This window comes from Homo sapiens, chromosome 3 (assembly GCF_000001405.40).
Source record: "Homo sapiens chromosome 3, GRCh38.p14 Primary Assembly".
NCBI classification, from domain to species: domain Eukaryota; kingdom Metazoa; phylum Chordata; class Mammalia; order Primates; family Hominidae; genus Homo; species Homo sapiens.
The window spans coordinates 178,205,173-178,226,886 of NC_000003.12; the positions used below are offsets into that span (position 1 = coordinate 178,205,173).

General features: G+C 39.7%; 1 long non-coding RNA gene across 1 annotated transcript in view, besides 2 other annotated features; it reads right to left on the reverse strand.

Moving 5' to 3' along the window:
• LOC105374235 (uncharacterized) overlaps window positions 1-21,714 on the reverse strand; it is a 221,596-nt gene that overhangs the window by 41,475 nt on the left and 158,407 nt on the right. Inside the window, exons 3-6 of the long non-coding RNA NR_188692.1 lie at window positions 20,923-21,016; window positions 20,426-20,517; window positions 19,063-19,129; window positions 1,407-1,681 (exon numbers count right to left, since the gene is read on the reverse strand). This is a non-coding gene — a long non-coding RNA (uncharacterized LOC105374235). The remainder of the gene's footprint in view (window positions 1-1,406; window positions 1,682-19,062; window positions 19,130-20,425; window positions 20,518-20,922; window positions 21,017-21,714) is intronic.
• Window positions 2,036-2,692: an enhancer, noted in NCBI's record as "NANOG-H3K27ac hESC enhancer chr3:177924996-177925652 (GRCh37/hg19 assembly coordinates)". NCBI's record gives its function as "activates a minimal SCP1, AML or CMV promoter by ChIP-STARR-seq in naive H9 embryonic stem cells {active_cell/tissue: H9 hESC(naive)}" and the evidence as "EXISTENCE:reporter gene assay evidence [ECO:0000049][PMID:30033119]".
• Window positions 6,036-6,236: a silencer, noted in NCBI's record as "peak4943 fragment used in MPRA reporter construct". NCBI's record gives its function as "represses an SCP1 promoter by STARR-seq MPRAs in K562 erythroleukemia cells {active_cell/tissue: K562}" and the evidence as "EXISTENCE:reporter gene assay evidence [ECO:0000049][PMID:32103011]".

Here is a 21,714-nt window from a genome sequence, read left to right on the forward strand (position 1 = left end):
CTCAGATACCACTAAGCAAAACCTCTGCTGTGGATATAGATATGAGTGCCCTGGCCTTGTCAAGGGTCAGCCGCAGATATCACTGCTGAAAACCAGAGTAGAAAAAAAGTTGTAAATCCCACAGAGGAACAAAAACTACTGTGGATGTCTAAGTCTATCTGGAAGAACTGGTAAAGGTGTATATGGATGTGGTGTGTGTCAAGTGTGTGTATGGATGTGGTGTGGGGAGAAGAGGATTATGGCAGCTAGCCTTATATTCACTTACTCCCTGTATTAGTCTGTTTTCACGCTGCTGATAAAGACATACCCGAGACGGGGCAATTTACAAAAGAAAGAGGTTTATTGGACTTAGTTCCATGTGGCTGGGGAGGCCTCACAATCATGGCGGAAGGTGAAAGGCATGTCTCACAAGATGGCAGACAAGAGAAGAGAGTTTGTGCAGGGAAACTCCCCTTTTTAAAACCATCAGCTCTCGTAAGACTTATTCACTATCACGAGAACAGCATGGGAAAGACCTGCCCCCATGATTCAATTACCTCCCACTGGGTCCCTCCCACAACACATGGGAATTCAAGATGAGATTTGGGTGGGAACACAGCCAAACCATATCAGGTATGCTCTCAGAAAAGAAGTCATGTCACCCAATCTAATCACCTTCCCCACTGAATCTGCAAGTATACAGACTATAATAATCCATGCTACAAGGAAGAGATATTAGCTTCAGAATGTCCTTAAAAGGATTTTTCTGGCCAAAGTTTTACCTCTGATAAATAAACCCGGAATCTCTGGATTGTAAGGCATGGCTTCCTAGGGAACTTTACATAAGCTCTGCCACACTGGGTTATACAATTTGAGAGTTTTCATCATTGAAATACACCCTGCTGCAAGAGTTTACCCTGTAAATCTCACTTAGAGGCATCACTTAATATTCTAAAGCAGAGGTAGAAGTTTGATGTGTAAAGGACCTGGGTAGCTACTCTCAATACCTCAGGCTTTCTCTGCTTTCGGAGAAAGCAGATGCCTCTTGATTGCCTGTATCCTTGAAATTAATAGTAAAGCTTGCTATTTGGTAAGATTTGTGAGTCTGATTTGACACCATTCCTGTGTAGTGGAGAAGAACTAGTGAAATACTATTTATTAATCTTTCTATGTGCCTAGTTTTACCTACAGAATGATTTGTTCTGGAAAGAGGTTACACTTAAATTTTCTGGTTTTACATCTGGCCTGTTTGACCAAATCAAATACTTCTTATCCATTTAGATATTTTTGATTGATCCATCCAATTCAATTTGAATTTTTATCCACACACCTATTAAGCTAATCTCCACTAACCTGAACCAATGAAGGTAGTTCCTGCCCCCTCCCAACCCTTCCCCTGAAACCTTGATTTGTCTTCAATACATTACCAGTGCAGATAAAATGTACACTAGGGCGTGTCTTCAAAATCTTGTTTCAACTGGAATGTGTTGCGTGGATTAGAATAAAAATATCTGTAGGAGAAGTTCTCTTCTATGCAGAGCAAGTATAGGCACTGCTTTAAATCCACAGGATAAAGCAAGCAAAGCTTTGCTTTCTTCTCCAGGGCAATTTAGGATAGCAGTAAAGCAATTACTGCCTGCAGCCGAAGAAAGCTGTCCCCACAAGTAGGCAGCTGGGGAGCTGTGAATTAGCTTTTCAACACCTGAAGCAAAAGTTAGAGAAAGTTAATGGCTCTGCTTTGAGAATAATAAGAAAAGCCTGGGGTTAGATGAAGTCCCTTTCTTCACAGTAATTTTGCACACTTTAATAATTAGAAGTGCATAAATATTTATGATATCACAATAAAGAGGCATATTTTGAGGGGAAATGTTCAATCATATGCATATTCTCTTCACAGTTGTCCATGACTAGAGAGAACCCTGTGTCAGAGCAGGGACATTTTTTTCAGTCAAGGCTTTCTAAATCAATGCACATGGCCTGGGAGAAATTAGGCTGCTTCTAAAATGCTAGCCTTGCAACCCTATGCCTAAAATGTGGTGCTCACCTTAAACTGCACGTGCATTTCACAAAGTAAGGCTTGTGGTGACCTTATTAGTATATTTCTAAAGAATAGAGGTATTATCTACTTCAGTGGTTCTCAAACATTAGTTCACATCAGATTCACCTGGGTTCTACTCCAGTACTAACTGATTTTGGTAGGTCTGGGATGAGGCCCCAAATTCACATTTCTAACAAATCCCCAGGTGATGAATGTCAGGCTTCTGAGCCCAAGATAAGCCATCACATCCCCTGTGACCTGCACGTACACATCCAGATGGCCAGTTCCTGCCTTAACTGATGACATTCCACCACAAAAGAAGTGAAAATGGCCTGTTCCTGCCTTAACTAATGACATTATCTTGTGAAATTCCTTCTCCTGGCTCATCCTGGCTCAAAAGCTCCCCTACTGAGCACCTTATGACCCCCACACCTGCCTGCCAGAGAACCACCCCACTTTGACTGTAATTTTCCTTTACCTACCCAAATCTTATAAATTGCCCCACCCCTATCTCCCTTTGCTGCCTCTCTTTTCGGACTCAGCCCACCTGGACCCAGGTGAAATAAACAGCCTTGTTGCTCACACAAAGCCTGTTTGGTGGTCTCTTCACACGGACACGACTGAAATTTGGTGCTGTGACTCGGATTTAAAATTGGTGAGATGTTCTTTGGGCTGGTTGGTCTGAGGACCAGAGGTCGTAGGTGGATCTTTCTCACAGAACAAAGAGCAGGACAGGGGATTGATCTCCCACGGGAGGTCCTCTGATCTGAGTCACGCCTGCCTGATTATTCACCCACGTTTCAGAGGTGTCTGACCACGCAGGGATACCTGCCTTAGTCCTTCACCCTTAGTGGCAAGTACTGCTTTTTTGGGGGGCAAGAACCCCCCAACCCCTTCTCTCCATGTCTCTACCCCTTCTTTGCTTTTCTGGGGGGCAAGAACCCCCCAACCCCTTCTCCTTCACCCTTAGAGGCAAGTACTGCTTTTCTGGGGGGCAAGAATCCCCCAACCCCTTCTCTCCGTGTCTCTATCCCTTCTTTGCTTTTCTGGGGGGCAAGAACCCCCCCAACCCCTTCTCCTTCACCCTTAGCAGCAAGTACCACTTTTCTGGGGGGTAAGAACTCCCCAACCCTCTGTGTCCCTGCCCCTTCTCTGCTTTTCTTGGGGGCAAGAACCCCCCAACCCCTTCCCCTTCACCCTTAGTGGCAAGTACCACTTTTCTGGGGGGCAAAAACCCCCCAACCCCTTCTCTCCATGTCTCTACCTCTTCTCCACTTTTCTGGGGGGCAAGAACCCCCCAACCCCTTCTCCTTCACCCTTATAGGCAAGCACTGCTTTTCTGGGGGGCAAGAACCCCCCCAGCCCCTTCTCTGTGTCTCTACCTCTTCTTTGCTTTTCTGGGGGGCAAGAACCCCCCAACCCCTTCTCCTTCACCCATAGCAGCAAGTACCACTTTTCTAGGGGGCAAGAACCCCCTGACCCCTTATCTTCATGTCTCTAACCCTTCTCTGCTTTTCTGGGGAGCAAGAACCCCCCACCCCTTCTCTCTGTGTCTCTACTCTCTTTTCTCTGGGCTTGCCTCCTTCACTATGGGCAAGCTTCCACCCTCCATTCCCCCTGTTTGCCCTTAGCCTGTGTTCTTAAAAACCTAAAACCTCTTCAACTCACACCTGACCTAAAACCTAAATGCCTTGTTTTCTTCTGCAATGCCGCTTGACCCCAATACAAACTCAACAGTGGTTCCAAATAGCCAGAAAATGGCACTTTCAATTTTTCCATCCTACAAGATCTAAATCTTGTTGTAAAAGGGGCACAAGGTCTGAGGTGCCTGACCTCCAGGTATTCTTTTACACATCGGTCCCTCCCTAGTCTCTGTTCCCTACGCAACTCGTCCCAAATCTTCCTTCTTTCCCTCCTGCCTGTCCCCTCAGTCCCAACACCAAGCATCGCTGACTCTTTCTAATCTTCCTTTTCTACAGACCCATCTGACCTCTCCCCTCCTTGCCAGGCCAAGCTAGGTCCCAATTCTTCCTCAGCCTCCAATCCTCCACCCTATAATCCTTTTATCACCTCCCCTCCTCACACCTGGTCTGGCTTACAGTTTCATTCAGTGACTAGCCCTCCCCCACTTGCCCAGGAATTTCCTCTTAAAAAGGTGCCTGGAGCTAAAGGCATAGTCAAGGTTAATGCTCCTTTTTCTTTATCCCAAATCAGATAGTATTTAGGCTCTTTTTCATCAAATATAAAAAACCAGCCCAGTTCATGGCTCATTTGGCAGCAACCCTGAGATGTTTTACAGCCCTAGACCCTAAAAGGTCTAAAGGCCATCTTATTCTCAATATACATTTTATTACCCAATCTGCTCCCGACATTAAATAAAACTCCAAAAATTAAATTCCAGCCCTCAAACCCCACAACAGGACTTAATTAACCTCACCTTCAAGGTGTACAATAATAAAGTAGAGGCAGCCAAGTAGCAACATATTTCTGAGTTGCAATTCCTTGCCTCCACTGTGAGACAAACCCCAGCCACATCTCCAACACACAAGAACTTCCAAACACCTAAACCTCAGTGGCCAGGCATTCCTCCAGGCCTGCCTCCCCCAGGAGCTTCCTACAAGTGCCAGAAATCTGGCCATTGGGCCAAGGAATGCCTGCAGCCTGGGATTCCTCCTAAGCCTTGTCCCATCTCTGTGGGACCCCACTGGAAATTGGACTGTCCAACTCGCCCGGCAGCCACTCCTAGAGCCCCTGGAACTCTGGCCCAAGTCTTTCTGACTGACTCCTTCCCAGATCTTCTCTGCTTAGCAGCTGAAGACTGACACTGCCTGATCACCTCAGAAGCCCCCTAGACCATCACAGATGCCAAGCTTCTGGGTAACTCTCACAGTGGAAGGTAATTCTGTCCCCTTCTTAATCAATACAGAGGCTACCCACTCCACATTACCTTCTTTTCAAGGGCCTGTTTCCCTTGCCTCCATAACTCTTGTGGGTACCGATGGCCAGACTTCTAAACCTCTTAAAACTCCCCAATTCTGGTGCCAACTTAGACAATACTCTTTTAAGCACTCCTTTTTAGTTATCCCCACCTGCCCAGCTCCCTTATTAGGCTGAGACACTTTAACTAAATTATCTGCTTCCCTGACTATTCCTGGGCTACAGCCACACCTCATAGCTGCCTTTTTCCCCAGTTCAAAGCCTCCTTCACATCCTCCCCTTGTATCTCCCCACCTTAACCCACAAGTATAGGACACCTCTACTCCCTCCTTAGCGACTGATCATGCACCCCTTACCATCCCATTAAAACCTAATCACTCTTACCCTGCTTAATGCCAATATCCCATCCCACAGCATGCTTTAAAAGGATTAAAGTCTGTTATCACTCGCCTGCTACAGCATGGCCTTTTAAAGCCTATAAACTCCCCTTACAATTCCCCCATTTTACCTGTCCTAAAACCAGACAAGGCTTACAGGTTAGTTCAGGGTCTGCGCCCTATCAACCAAATTATTTTGCCTATCCGCCCCATGGTGCCAAACCCGTATAGTTTCCTATCCTCAATACCTCCCTCCACAACCCATTATTCTGTTCTGGATCTCAAACATGCTTTCTTTACTATTCGTTTGCACCCTTCGTCCCAGCCTCTCTTCGCTTTCACTTGGACTGACCCTGACACCCATCAGGCTCAGCAAATTACCTGGGCTGTACTGCCACAAGGCTTCACAGACAGCCCCCATTACTTCAGTCAAGTCCAAATTTCTTCCTCATCTGTTACCTATCTTGGCATAATTTTCATGAAAACACACATGCTCTCCCTGCCCATCGTGTCTGACTGATCTCTCAAACCCCAGCACTTTCCACAAAACAACACCCTTCCTTCCTAGGCATGGTTAGGTACTTTTGACTTTAGATACCTGGTTTTGCCATACTAACAAAACCATTATTTAAACTCACAAAAGGAAACCTAGCTGACCCCATAGATCCTAAATCCTTTCCCCACTCCTCTTTCCATTCCTTGAAGACAGCTTTAGAGACTGCTGCCACACTAGCTCTCCCTGACTCATCCCAACCCTTTTCATTACTCACAGCTGAAGTGCAGAGCTGTGCAGTCAGAATTCTTACACAGGACCAGGACCACACCCTGTAGCCTTTTTATCCAAACAACTTGACCTTACTGTTTTGCCTAGCCCTCAAGTCTGCATGTGGCGGCCACCACCACCCTAATACTTTTAGAGGCCCTTAAAATCACAAACTATGCTCAACTCACTCTCTACAGTTCTCATAACTTCCAAAATCTATTTTCTTCCTCACACCTGATACATATACTTTCTGCTCCCTGGCTCCTTCAGCTGTACTCACTCTTTGTTGAGTCTCCCACAGTTACCATTGTTCCTGGCCTGGACTTCAATTTGGCCTCCCACATTATTCCTGATACCACACCTGACCCCCATGACTGTATCTCTGATCCACCTCAAATTCACTCCATTTCCCCATATTCTTTCGTGTTCCTCACCCTGAACACACTTGGTTTATTGATGGCAGTTCCACCAAGCCTAATCGCCACTCACCAGCAAAGGCAGGCTATGCTATAGTATCTTCCACATCTATCATTGAGGCTACCACTCTGCCCCCCTCCATTACCTCTCAGCAAGCCGAACTCATTGTCTTAAGTCAAACCCTCACTCTTGCAAAAGGACTAAATGTCAATATTTATACAGACTCTAAATATGCCTTCCATATCCTGCACCACCATGCAAGAGGTTTCCTCACTGCACAAGGGTCCTCTATCATTAATGCTTCTTTAATAAAAACGCTTCTCAAAGCTCCTTTACTTCCAAAGGAAGCTAGAGTCATTCACTGCAAAGGCCATCAAAGGGCATCAGATCCCATCCCTCAGGACAATGCTTATGCTGATAAGATAGCAAAAAACAGCTAGGGTTCCAACTTCTATCCCTCACTTTCAGTTTTTCTCCTTCTCATCTGGCCACTCCCACCTAATCCCTTGCTAAAACTTCCACCTATCAATCTCTTCTCACACAAGGCAAATGGTTCTTAGACCAAGGAAAATATCTCCTTTCAGCCTCACAGTCCCATTCTACTCTGTTGTCATTTCATAACCTCTTCCATGTAGGTTACAAGCCACTAGCCTGTCTCTTAAAACCTCTAATTTCCTTTCCATCACGGAAATCTATCCTCAAGGAAATCACTTCTTAGTGTTCCATCTGCTATTCTACTACTCCTCAGGGATTATTCAACCCCTCTCCCTTCCCTACACATCAAGCTCGAGGATTTGCCCCCACACAGGACTGGCAACTCTTAACTCCCTCTTAGAGTGCATAGATGATCTTTGCTGGCAGGGGACCCTCCAATTCTTTCACCCTGATGAAGTTCTACTCTTTACTTTTATACTCACTCTTATTCTCATTCCCATTTTTATGCCACCCTCTACCTCTCCCCAGCTATCTCTACCACACTATCAACCTTACTCATTCTCTCCTAGACGTTTCTAATCCCTCCTTAGTGAACAACTGCTGGCTTTGCATTTCTCTTTCTTCCAGCGCCTACACAGCTGTCCCCACCTTACATGCAGACTAGGCAACACCTTCTGTCTCCGTACACCTCCAAACTTCCTTTAACAGCCCTCACCTTTACCCTCCTGAAGAACTCATTTACTTTCTAGACAGGTCCAGCAAGACCTCCCCAGACATTTCACATCAGCAAGCTGCTGCCCTCCTCTGCACTTACTTAAAAAACCTTTCTCCTTATATCAACTCTACTCCTCCCATATTTAGACCTCCCACAACACAAACTACTATTCCTATGGCTGCTTCTTTATGTATCTCTTGGCAAAGACCCACTGGAATTCCCCTAGGTAACCTTTCACTTGCTCGATGTTCCTTTACTCTTCATCTCCAAAGCCTTCTTCTTGTTTACTTATACCCGGCCTCAAAAATAACAGTGAAAGGTTGCTCGTAGACACTCGGCATTTTCTCATACACCATGAAAATTGAACTTCCCCCTCTATGCAGTTACCCCATCAGACCCTATTACAACCTCTGACTGCTGCTGCCCTAGCTGCATCCCTAGGAGTCTAGGTACAAGACACCCCTTTCAGCACTCCTTCTCATCTTTTTACTTTGCATCTCCAGTTTTGCCTCGCACAAGGTCTCTTCTTCCTCTGTGGATCCTCTACCTACATGTGTCTACCTGCTAATTGGACAGGCACATGCACACTAGTTTTCCTACTCCCAAAATTCAATTTGCAAATAGGACCGAAGAGCTCCCTGTTCCTCTCATGACACCGACACAACAAAAAAGAGTTATTCCACTAATTCTCTTTCTTGTCGGTTTAAGACTTTCTGCCTCCACTAGCGCTCTCGGTACGGGAATAGCAGGCACTTCGACCTCTGTCACGACCTTCCATAGCCTGTCTAATGACTTCTCTGCTAGCATCACAGACATATCACAAACTTTATCAGTCCTCCATGCCCAAGTTGACTCTTTAGCTGCAGTTGTCCTCCAAAAACCGCCGAGGCCTTGACTTACTCACAGCTGAAAAAGGAGAACTCTGTATATTCTTAAATGAAGAGTGTTGTTTTTACCTAAATCAATCTGGCCTGGTGTATGACGACATAAAAAACTCAAGGATAAAGCCCAAAAACTTGCCAACCAAGTAAGTAATTACGCTGAACCACCTAGGACACTCTCTAATTAGATGCCCTAGGTCCTTCCAATTCTTAGTCCTTTAATACCTGTTTTTCTCCTTCTCTTATTCCATTTAGTTTTTCAATTCCTACAAAACCATATCCAGGCCATCACCAATAATTCTATACGACAAATGTTTCTTCTAACAACCCCACAATATCACCCCTTACCACAAAATCTTCCTTCAGCTTAATCTCTCCCACTCTAAATTCTCACGCCACCCCTAATCCCACTCGAAGCAGCCCTGAGAAACATCGCCCATTATCTCTCCATGGCACCCCCCAAAATTTTCACCATCCCAACACTTTACCACTATTTCATTTTATTTTTCTTATTAATATAAGAAGACAGGAATGTCAGGCCTCTGAGCCCAAGCTAAGCCATCACATCCCCTGTGACCTGCACGTACACATCCAGATGGCCGGTTCCTGCCTTAACTGATGACATTCCACCACAAAAGAAGTGAAAATGGCCTGTTCCTGCCTTAACTGATGACATTATCTTGTGAAATTCCTTCTCCTGGCTCATCCTGGCTCAAAAGCTCCCCTACTGAGCACTTTGTGACCCCCACTCCTGCCCACCAGAGAACAACCCCCCTTTGACTGTAATTTTCCTTTACCTACCCAAATCTTATATAACGGCCCCAACCCTATCTCCCTTCACTGACTCTCTTTTCGGATTCGGCCCACCTGTACCCAGGTGAAATAAACAGCTTTGTTGCTCACACAAAGCCTGTTTGGTGGTCTCTTCACACGGACACGAGTGAAAATGGTGATGCTGCTTGTCTAGGGACAACACTTTGAGAACATGGATCTATTGTATATAAATCAGAATTCCAGATCCTGGCTGTACTTGAGAACCATCTGGTGGCCTCTTAAAATATTAACACAGCCAACCAGAAAGAGGCCCCAATGGCCAAAGATGGAAAAATTTGAGTAACAAAATGAATAACATAGTTTTGAGTTACAGTCCAAAGTATAAGACAAATACCCACAAGTCCATATTTGTATAAATATAATATTAAGTAAATAAATGTAGGAAAAGAGAGAAATCTTCTTTATGAAAGAATCACAAACCATTTTTGTATTCTCCCCTGAAGCAGGTGAAACTTACCTCCTTCCTTCCCCCTCCCCACTCCTCTTAATGACTTGATTAAAACAAAATAAATTATGGGTATGTGAAGGGAGGAAGAAATAACTTCACAGTGAAGAAACAGGAAAATACTACGTTGGGTAGGTGATCAAGATTAACATACACTATGATGAATTACATTCACAGACTTTACTCCCTAATATGAATGACAAAGGCACTTCACCTCTGTGGTATTCTTTCCAAAAACCAATAGCCCCAGTCTAACCATGATAAAAAAATAAAAGCCCAATTGAGGAATCTTCTTCAAAATACCTGGCCAATATTCTTCAAAGGAGTCAAGATCATTAAAAATAAGGAATGGAAGGATGACTCCCAGAGGCTGGGAAGGGTTGGGGTGGTGGGTTAGGGGGTGGTGGAGATGGTTAATGGGTACAAAAAAATAGAAAGAATGTATAATACATACTATTTGATTGCACAACAGGGTTACTATGGTCAATAATAATTGTAGATTTCAAATAACTAAAAGAATGTAATTGGACTATAACACAAAGGATGAATGCTTGGAGGGATGGATACCCAATCCTTCATCATGTGATCATTTCACATTGCATGTCTGTATCAAAACATCACATGTGCCCCACAAATATACCGACCATGTACCCACGACAATTAAAAATTAAGACATTTTAAAAATAAAAATAAAAATCCAGGAATGGATGAGAAACTATCATGGTCTTGAGAAGATGAAGGAGACATGACAAAATGTAATATTATATCATGAATGGTATTCTGGAGCAAAAATAAAAAATAAAAATAAAAAAGACACTAGTGGGAAAGTTACAGAAATTGAATGAAGACTGGAGTTAATCGTAATGTGCCAGTGCCGGTTTCTTAGTTGCGACAAATGTACCAGGGCAATGTAAGATGTTAATAAGAAGGGAAATGGAGAAAGTCATATGGGATCTATCTGTGCAACTTTCCTCTAAATTTGAAAATGTTAAAAAACTTAAGCTTATTTTAAGAATACTAGTGCCCGGAGATTACCACAGACAAATCAGAGTCTCTGGGGTGAGACCTAGGCATTTGTTTTAGAACTCTGAGGGATTGTCAGGAGCAGTCCAACTAGATCTACCACTGATCTAGATATAATTAAAATAATAACTTTCCTGTTAAATCTCACTTTCACTTGGTCAGCATGGTAGTTAATACTAAAACAATTTGCCACTTTTTGTATTTCTAGAGAAAGCATCTCTTTCAGTGTGGGTTAATCAAATCTGCAAAATGTTAGTAGCAGGAACTTAAAAAGGGAAGTAGAGATAGAATAAATTCATAAATGGCTTTTAAAAATTACATTCTAGAGTATATCCAGAGGTCCACATGTATTGTATCTATGCTTTTACACCATCTTTAAAACTTCCATAGGAGAGAACTTGGGAGAATTTTATGACAAACAGAATTTAGGCAATTGGGATGATTATATGAGAATGCTCTGTGTCTGGTAAGTTGTATGCTCATGTGTGATATGCCTTTGTGGTATGTCTACACAGATCTCTACCCAAAAGTTTGTTTTCTTTTCTAATTCTTGTTAGTTGTTTAAGGAATTGAGGCTCTTTTTCATATTTGTTTCATTTCTTCCATGTCTACATTATGTACATAAATCTTTCTTAATTGTAAATATGCTAAAAGCAAATAATAACCCCAACTATTTACTCAAATAAGGTAAACATTTTTACTTTGAATTAAAAATAAAAAAAGACTTGTTACTTCAGTAAAACTGATACCGAAATGACTCTAGCTACGCAATAGGCTGTTTGAACATCTCTCAATGCATCTCTTTGGTAGCGTCTCTTCAGTAATAGCTATGTGATTTCAGATTCAGCATTTGACCTATGGAGAGTATTGAGAAAAGGAAATCAGTAGCGGAATTCTGCCATAGAAGTGGCAAATTTTTTTTATTACCCACTTAGCAGTGCTAACCAGTTCACTTGGGTAGCCCAGTTTTATGATTCCTGCAGGTCTAGAGGATACCACTTGAAATGTTCCCATTTTACCTTTTCTGTATCCTCTGGCTAGTCTTTGTAGATTACCAACTGGCAATCTGGGGAGAAGGATGAAGTATACCAACTGGCAATCTGGGGAGAAGGATGAAGTATACCAACTGGCATTCTGGGGAGAAGGATGAAGTATGAAGTTGAAGAGACTACAAGTAGTATCAGAAAGTATGGCATTTATAGCCACCACCTTAACTTTCATTGGCATTACAAGCAAACTTAGGGATATAGAGATACCAGGGACTTACACCATCCAAGGAAGGAAGGTCTAGGAACATGATGTGCCTTTATCATATTTAAGGTGTTCTTTATAAGAATACATTATAAGAGATTTTCTCATAATCTTTGAGGGCAGTTAAAAGTATTGTTAATTGGTTTTAGGGAAATTACCATAGCTGCTAGGCACTCAGAGGGAGAAAAAAAGGTCAGTATATTTTGTACAGAGCAAACTTATATTTTTGTACAGTGATATATTTTGTATACAGTGAAATATATTTGTATACAGCAAAACTGTTACCCAGTTTTCATGCCCTATTTAAGGCAGTCTTAGAGATTCTGTTCCCTTAGGAGATCATATGAATGTACACCAACCCTGCTGTCAGGCATTATTGATTGGACAGAAGAGGACATCTCATTCCAGTTGACTCAGCGATTTCCTCTCCGGGAAATCTGTGGTTTGGACCCAGAAGTTCTAGTTAGTGTCATAGGGACTTATAGTGTATGGCCTTCCATGTTTACTCAGAGACAGAGGGAGGCTGTCTACAGAAAGGCAGATTAAAGGAGGTAGATGCTCAGAACTACCAGGAAAGGACTGACTCTGGTAGATATGATCAGCAGGAGTGAGAAAGGGAGACTGAGAAAGAATGACAGAGATTGGGAAAGACAGATGGAGACTAATGTGATCCCAAACTGCTTGCTTCTTGTATTTCTTGAACTTATCTTCCATAAGTTACCCTTATATGCTAGGAAAAGTTATTTATTTTTGTGTTTTTATCCAATTTATGTGAGTTTATTACTCTCAGTAATATAATTCTTGAGTATGTATACATCAGATAAACAGTTAAAACATTCCTTTCAAACTACAATGCCTGCCATATAGTAGACATTTGACAATATTTTTGGTGAATAAAACAAATTTTCTATGCATCTAGCTACCAAAATTTATTGTATACTTACTACATTGTATGTATATATGTACATGTATTAGGTATATACATATATATGTACATATTTGTCTGTGTAGCTGTATATGCACTATATTTTTAGGGAATTCCCTTAAAGACATTTAACTAGTAATACCACTTTCTTATGCTCTTCCCATGCTGAAAACAACAAAAACTGCCTAGTAATATGTCTTTTGCATATTGATTAAGTGCATATGTTCTTGTGCCAGACTGACTGAAATGTTGTGAGGCTTAAATGAGTTAATTTATGTGCAGAACTTGGAACCATTTCCCACATATAACATATAATAAGCATTCAAAACTATCACAGCTTATTATTACACTATAATGCTTATTATCATTAGGATTCTTATATAATAAGTATGCAAAGCTGTTGTTGTTATTATTAGAAAGTTGGTTTAGTCCCTAGAAAACTTGGTAGAAGTCTTTAAGCAGAGAGAGATACAAACCTAAAGACCAAATCTACATTTTCAAAGATGCATAGGCTGTTTATATTTAGAAGACAAACAAAGCCAGATGAAATATAAAAGTGGTAAGTGTAGAATGAAGATTGCTTCTGCTTGAGAACCAAAGTCAGTGGTGGAACATGGAATTGGAGAAGATGGGACAAAACTGAAGCAAGCAGTGCTTGCTTCAGTTTGGCAACATGGCAAACAAAGGCCCCGTGACTCTAAACCCTTTGAACTGCTTCATGCAAACTTATGAAGAGACTGTTGGGCATCCTTTCTGGAAGAAAGATGAGAGCAATGTGGGATCATGGGTAACCAATATAGCCAGAGACTTGGAAAATATAAATATGACTCAAGCATAATGCCTCCTTTATTATTACTCAGGCTATGAGACCTAAGTGGCCAAAGAAATGAGGCGTCTAAGAGTATATCCTTTTCATTATGCTGTTCATTCATTTTAATTTATTCTTCTAATCATTAGAGTACTTAAGGTAGCCATGTATTATTATTTAATGTGCTTCCCAGGGAGTTTAAGAATGTCATAGAATAAGTGGGGGTGAACTTTTCTGTAAAAGATCAGATAGATAGTAAGTACTTTAGGTTTTGTAGGCAGTAGGTGCTCTGTTACAGTGACTCAACTTTTCATACAATTGTGGTATAAAAACAGCCAATAACAGCACAAAAATGAATGTGTGCCTGTGATCCAATAATTTTTAAAAATATATTTTTGACTCTTTCTATGTGATCCTGCTAAGGCTTACCAAATAAACACACTGTAATTTATTTTTTATTGATTTATATATTTACAGTTTTTTTTTTAATTTTACTTTAAGTTCTGGGATACATGTGCAGAACGTGCAGGTTTGTTACATAGGTATACATGTACCATGGTGGTTTGCTGTACCTATCAACTTGTCATCTAGGTTTTAAGCCCCACATTAGGTATTTGTCCTAATGCTCTCCCTCCCCTTGCCCCCAACCCTGACAGGCCCCAGTGTGTGATGTTCCCCTCCCTGTGTCCATGTGTTCTCACTGTTCAACTCCCACTTATGAGTGAGAACATGTGGTGTTTGGTTTTCTGTTCCTGTGTTAGTTTGTTGAGGATGATCGTTTCCAGCTTCATCCGTGTCCCTGCAAAGGACATGAACTCATCCTTTTTTATGGCTGCATAGTATTCCATGGTGTATATGTGCCACGTTTTCTTTATCCAGTCTATCACTGATGGGCATTTGGGTTGGCTCTAAGCCTTTGCTATTGTGAATAGTGCTGCAATAAACACGTGTGCATGTGTCTTTATAGTAGAATGATTTATAACCCTTTGGGTATATACCCAGTCATGATATTCCTGGGTAAAATGGTATTTCTGGTTCTAGATGCTTGAGGAATCACCACACTGTCTTCTACAATGGTTGAACTAATTTACTCTCCCTCCAACAGTGTAAAAGTGTTCCTGTTTCTCCACATCCTCTCCAGCATCTGTTGTTTCCAGACTTTCTAATGATCACCATTCTAACTGGCATGAGATGATATCTCATTGTGGTTTTGATTTGCGTTTCTCTAATGACCAGTGATGATCAGCTTTTTTTCATATGTTTGTTGGCCACATAAATATCTTCTTTTGAGAAGAGTCTGTTCATATCCTCTGCTCACTTTTTGATGGGGTTGTTTGTGTTTTTCTTGTAAATTTGTTTAAGTTCTTTGTAGATTCTGGATATTAGCCCTTTGTCAGATGGATAGTTTATAAAAATTTTCTCCCATTCTGTAGGTTGCCTGTTTACTCTGATAATAGTTTCTTTTGCTGTGCAGAAGCTCTTTAGTTTGATTAGATCTCATTTGTCAATTATGGCTTTTGTTGCAATTGCTTTTGGTGTTTTATTCATGAAGTCTTTGCCTATGCCCATGACCTGAATGGTATTGCCTGGATTTTCTTCTAGGGTTTTTATGGCTTTAGGTCTTATGTTTAAGTCTTTAATCTATCTTGAGTTAATTTTTGTATAAGGCATAAGGAAAGGGTCCAGTCTCAGTTTTCTGCATATGGCTAGCCAGTTTTCACAACACCATTTATTAAATAGGGAATCCTTTCCCCATTGCTTGTTTTTGTCAGGTTTTTCAAAGATCAGATAGTTGTAGATGTGTGGTGTTATTTCTGAGGTCTCTATTGCTTATTCTCTAATTGCTGATAGAGTGAGAAAGTCCACACCATCAGAGGATGTATCTAAAGGACAAAGGCAAGTAATTATCATGATCAGGTTCAAGTCATATCTCAGAAGTGGTATAAAAGAGAGGTAAGAGCTGAAATAAGAGGTGTCACTCTGAAACTCTCATACATGTGGAGAAGTAGGTCTTCAGCAAATCTGGGCCAGAAAATAGAACTACAACAAATCAAGCAGAGATATTCCTACCAAGGGGAGATGGGAAGAAAACAACTTCAAGACAAAAACAGTGAATAATTTTTTTTTTTTTTTTTTGGAGACAGAGTCTCACTCTGTCACCCAGGCTGGAGTGCAGTGGCATGATCTCAGCTTGCTTCACCCTCTGCCTCCCAGGTTCAAGCAATTCCCCTGCCTCAGCCTCCTGAGTAGCTGGGACTACAGGTGCGTACCACCACGCCTGGCTAATTTTTGGCTTTTTAGTAGAGACGGGGTTTCATCATGTTGGCCAGACTGATCTGGAACTCTTGACCTCATGATCCACCTGCCTCGGCCTCTTAAAGTGCTGGAATTACAGGTGTAAGCCGCCGCACCTGGCCAAAAACAGTAAATAATTCTAACCAACCAAAGGAAATATTGACTGCATCTTAATATAAGGCAGAGTCAATAGACTATGAATATATGACAGACAATTTGTGTATTTGAAGCCCCCAGCACAGAGCCTGCACTCAGAAAATACTTAATAAATGTTTGTCCAAGGATATCCATCAAGTAGCAACAAGAAATCTGATCCACCCATAACAACAGAGAATTCAGGTGGTAGTCATCATTAAACAGTCTGTCCATAAGTAGAAGATGCCTAGTACAAAATATGGTATCATAACAGAGTCTAGAAAATAAGAACACAAAAGACAAGAAGAACTTTGGGAACATCCTGGGGTGAAAAATTGTATTTCAGTCTTCAAAATGGGGCTCATTCAAGAAATAGATAAAATGAGAAGTACAAACCCAGGTAGAATTCCAGAGCCGGTCAACACTGGAAGAGAAGGGGTCACAGGAATTAATGTGTCTTAAGAAAATATGGGCATCTTATTTCTACAGTGCTAGATTCTGAATCTTGTTGATAAGAAAAGGGAACTAACTAAAGAGGATCCAAGGAAAGTCATCTATCAAGTGTGACTGAAGAATTGACTTTTAAGCCTAGAAGAAATTTTTAATTCCAAAACTCAGTAAGGTTGATGATATATTTTCATGTCAGGGAAAAATGGAGATTACAGGCAGAGGCATCCTATAGATGTAGCCAATAGCTGTAGAAGGTACAGGTTAAGATGTTAAAATACAGTGTAATCACTAAGACCACGGATTTTTAGAGCCAGATAACCCTGGATTGAGACCTGAACTCTGCCATTTATTGGCCCTATCTAATAGTCATTTTTGCTCTTAAACAGGTTATTTAATATTTATCCTCAGTTGTCTTGCCTCCAAAATAGGTATAATAATAGCATCTACCTCATAAGATGGCTATGAAGATCTAATGAGAAAGCTATGCAAAGTGCTTCATGTCTGTCTGTATAGTAACTGCTCAAGAAAGAATAGGTTTTATTAAGTAGGAAGATAAAAACAAGTAGGGATGTGAATTTAGACTTTCCTACATTAATACTTGCTAAAATACACCTAGATTTTTCAAAAATATACATCTAGGACCACCAAGACAATTTTTACATTTTCTTTCTAGTTTTGACAAGAGTCAATACTGTTGTACTTTGCAACTTTTAGTAAAGGCAGTTTCCGGGACAGATTGAGAGCCTCCAGCAATCAGAAACCATTCCATGGGTTTGAGTGGAAGCTTAGTGGTTTCTCCACTGTTGGGCAGACTGGCAAGTTTCCAGTTTGAGGAAAAATAGATGAGCTCTAGAAGTGCAAGGAAGAATGTTTTTCCCAAAATAACATTTTCAGAATCAGCGCCTGATCTTTCTTATATTTTTCCTGAAGCCAAGAAAGGAGCCAAGCATGAAATGGTCATCCATCCTTAGAAGGTTACTTGTCAAAATAGTTCTCCTAGGCCTGTTATTGTTTTAATCTGACATTAATCTGTCAAAACAACACTAGCATGTCTCAGTATTCAATGTATTGGTGGATTCACCTAACTGCAGCTTTTATACATCAGTGTTTTCTATGGGCATGGTGAACCCTCCCCAACAGCAAGAGGATCAATTTGGGCAGAAGACAGAGGAAAACAGTATGGAGAGAGCACCCTTTAGCCTTCCACATCTTCCTGCCCACAGTGGGCTTCAGAGACACATCAGAGAAAATATTTTTTATTTTGTCAACCAAGTAATTAATCAGAGAGTAAAAAATACTAGTAAATGGCATATTGCCTGCTACTAAATGCCTTTTGGAGAAAATTAAAACCTAAACTTAAGTGCTATGAGACCTTGTCACAAGTGGCATTTTATTTTTTAATGTATTTCTAGATTTAGGATGGTTTGAGCTTCCAACTGAACTGCATTAAACATTTCAAATATGTCTTTCTTATAAGGCACCTAAAACATCATCCAAGCTACCTGCATGGTAAGATTTACTTTATGCCAAACTTAAATATCTCCTTTAATTTCTTGAACTGTATATAGAACTGTATATATGTACACACATGTGCATATATATATATATTTGTGTGGTCAAGCTACATTATATATATAGTATATATGTATATACATATGTATATGTATATATGTGTATATATGTATATATGTACACACGTGTGTATATATATATTTCTGTGTTCAAGCTACATTGTATATATATGCTACAAGTATGTGTGTGTATATATGTATACATATACTTGTGTGTTCAAGCTACATTGTCCAAGCTACCTGCATGGTAAGATTTAATTTATGCCAAATTTAAATATCATCTCCTTTAATTTCTTGAACTGTATATATGTACACCTGTGTGCATATATATATGTGTGTGTGTGTAAATATATATCCTATTGGTTCTGTTTCTCTGGAACAGATATATTCTAGATATATGCATACATCTAGAAAGAGACTTATATAAGGTATTGGCTCACAAAATTATGGAGGCTGAGAACTCTCACAATCTGCTATCTGCAAGCTGGAGACCAAGGAATGTCTGTGGTATAGCAGGAAGGCCTGAGAGCCAAGGAGCCAGTGGTGTGGATTCCAGCCTGACTCTGAAAGCCTGAGAACCAGGAATACTCAGGACAGAAGACTGCTGTTCCAGCCCAATCAGTCAGGTAGAGAGAGGATGAATCCTGCCTTGTTGCACAATTTTGTTTTATTCATGTCCTGCATGGATTAGATGATGTCAACCCAGATTGGGAAGGGTAATGTACTGTACTCAGCCTATGATTCCAATGCTAATCTCTTCCTGAAACAGTCTCACAGACTCACCCATAAATAATGTTGAACCAGGTATCTCAGCATCCTGTGGCCCAGTCAAGTTGACACATAAAATTAACTATCATAGAAAGAAAACAAAATGTTTAGTTTCCATGTTTACTAATTTGGAGTGGTCAAACATAAGATGCACATAGCTTCCAGATACTCTGACACTTAAATTATGCTTTCATCTTGCAGAATCAATATGGCCACTTATCATTAAACAGTCACTCAGAAGGAAAATAACAACACAAGGACATTTCATCTGAATTTTCTCTTGGACCTTCTACATCAGAATCAACAGGAGTAATACTAAAAATGATGATACTTTTGGGCCAACCAAAACTTCATTAATTATAAGATCTTGAGTTTGAACTCAGGAATCTGCTCATTGGCAAATATTTTACCCAATTCTTGTACACTATAGAAAGTAAGAGCCAATAATTTAGAGATTCTGTTCTGACACTATTCGATGTTCAAAGAAGAGAATTTTAAAAATCAAATTGCATAAAATTTGTAATTTATTTTTGCCCATAATTTTGGTATATTTCATTGATTATTTTATTATATTAAAATATTATATTTGTCATTCCCTAAAACCAAATTAAAATTTTTATTCTGAACCAAATATGCAAATTTCAATATCTCTTCTTATTAATGCCATATGTATATATTACACTTCAGATTTCAAAAATATTTAACTTGTCCACCAAAGAATTAAAAATTTAATAAAACTTTAATGAAAATTTATTAGGTACTGGAAAAGAGGACCCAGGAGACTTTGATCTTTCAGAGAACGAATATTCTATACTTTCTCTGGCTTTAATTCAGCAGTTACTTCCAAGAATTCAGTGCCACGAAGAAGGACTGAAACAAGCATGGCCGTATTTTTGAGTTGAGGAAATAGAGATTAGAGTATGAGAAAGCTAAGGCAGGAAGAAGTTTTAGGCTAGGGAACTGGAAGGAGAGAGTTATGCAGAGAAAGTTCTCCAAAACTCTGTATAGGGGCTTGCTTGGATCTGTTGCTAAATATCAAGCCATAGATGCATACAGTAAAACTCTGTGATAACAAGCCAAACACACACACACACACACACACACACACACACACACACACACACACACACACCCTATCAGAAAGTGGTAATCTAAATAATTCCTAAGCTTACACAGGAGTAAGAGACATTCATCTTACAACCAGCCAGAGGTTAGAATCCTCATCAAAAGCTCAAAGATTCATTAGAGACCTCAGAAAGGTCCATCCTTAATAGTAATCTCAAACTATTATAGTCCTGGAGAAAAGCATATCATATAACTTTCCTAACAAAGATTAAAACTAACCCCCCAAAATCAAGTTGATTGGCAAGTAACTTACCTATCTGCCAGAATAAATTTCAACAGTTGTTAAAAGAATATAACTGAATCTGGACACTCATCCATATAATATAAAAATGGCCAGCATCTGATCTAAAATTAACAAATATAGATACACAGAAAAATGACTTTCATAACCAGGAGAAACATCTATACATAAAAACATATAAATGATAGATATAAAGGAACTAGTAGACAATTACTTCAAAATAATGTATCTAATATGAAAACAGTAACTGGGTGCACTTATTAGCATACTTGTTGTGAAGTACAGATCAGTGAATTTGAAGTCATAACAATATAAACAATCCAAACTGAAGCACAGAGAAATAAAACTAAAAAAGTGAAATAAACAAAGCCTTAATGATTTGTAGAACAATATCAAGTGGTCAACCAAACATGTATTTTTATTGCAAATTTAAAAAAAGAGTGGTCCAAAAATATGTAAAGAAATATAGTCAAAATTAGTTTTGAAACTGATGAAAATGATAAACTTACAAATCCAAGAAGTTTAATGAACCCTAAGCAAGATAAACAGCAGACCTGCACTATAAGACATCTTCAAGGAAGTTCTTCAGGTGGGAACATGTACCTTAGAAAAGCAATAAAGGATGGTTAAAGTGTGAAAAAAATAGAAAATTTTTTTTCTCATTTAAAAAATTGTTAAAATAGAGAGAGCCTATTGCATAATAACTATAACAATGAATTGCAAGATATAGGAAAGTAAAATCTATGACAAGAATAGTACAAGTATGGGGGAAGGAAATGAAAGCACATTGCAGTAAGATGCATACATCATACATACGTGAAGTGCTATAATAATATTTTAATATAGATTGAAGATAGCTCATAATATATTAAAATTTTACATCGTAAGTCTGAAGCAACCATTACAAAGAAAAACAGAGATATAACTTATAAGTCAACAATGAATGTAAAACTAAGTATTAAAAAGTCTGAATGAAAAGACAGGAAAATGATAAAAAAATGAATGAAGATCAGTTGCAACAAATATAAAACAAATAGAATGATGGTAGACTTAAACACCTCCAGATAAAAAAGTTAAATATAAATAGTTCATATACTTCAAATAAAAGGCAGTGGTTGTCAGACTGATAAAAAAGGCAGCATGCATCTTTGTACTATATTTACAATAATTGCATTTAAAATATGTAGCACACATATTTTAAAAAGGAAAAGAATGAAAAATGATATACAATACAACGGAGTAATTATAAGAAAGTGTGAGTGGCTACTGAATATTAGAACAGTCTTTAGTTCAAAGAATTT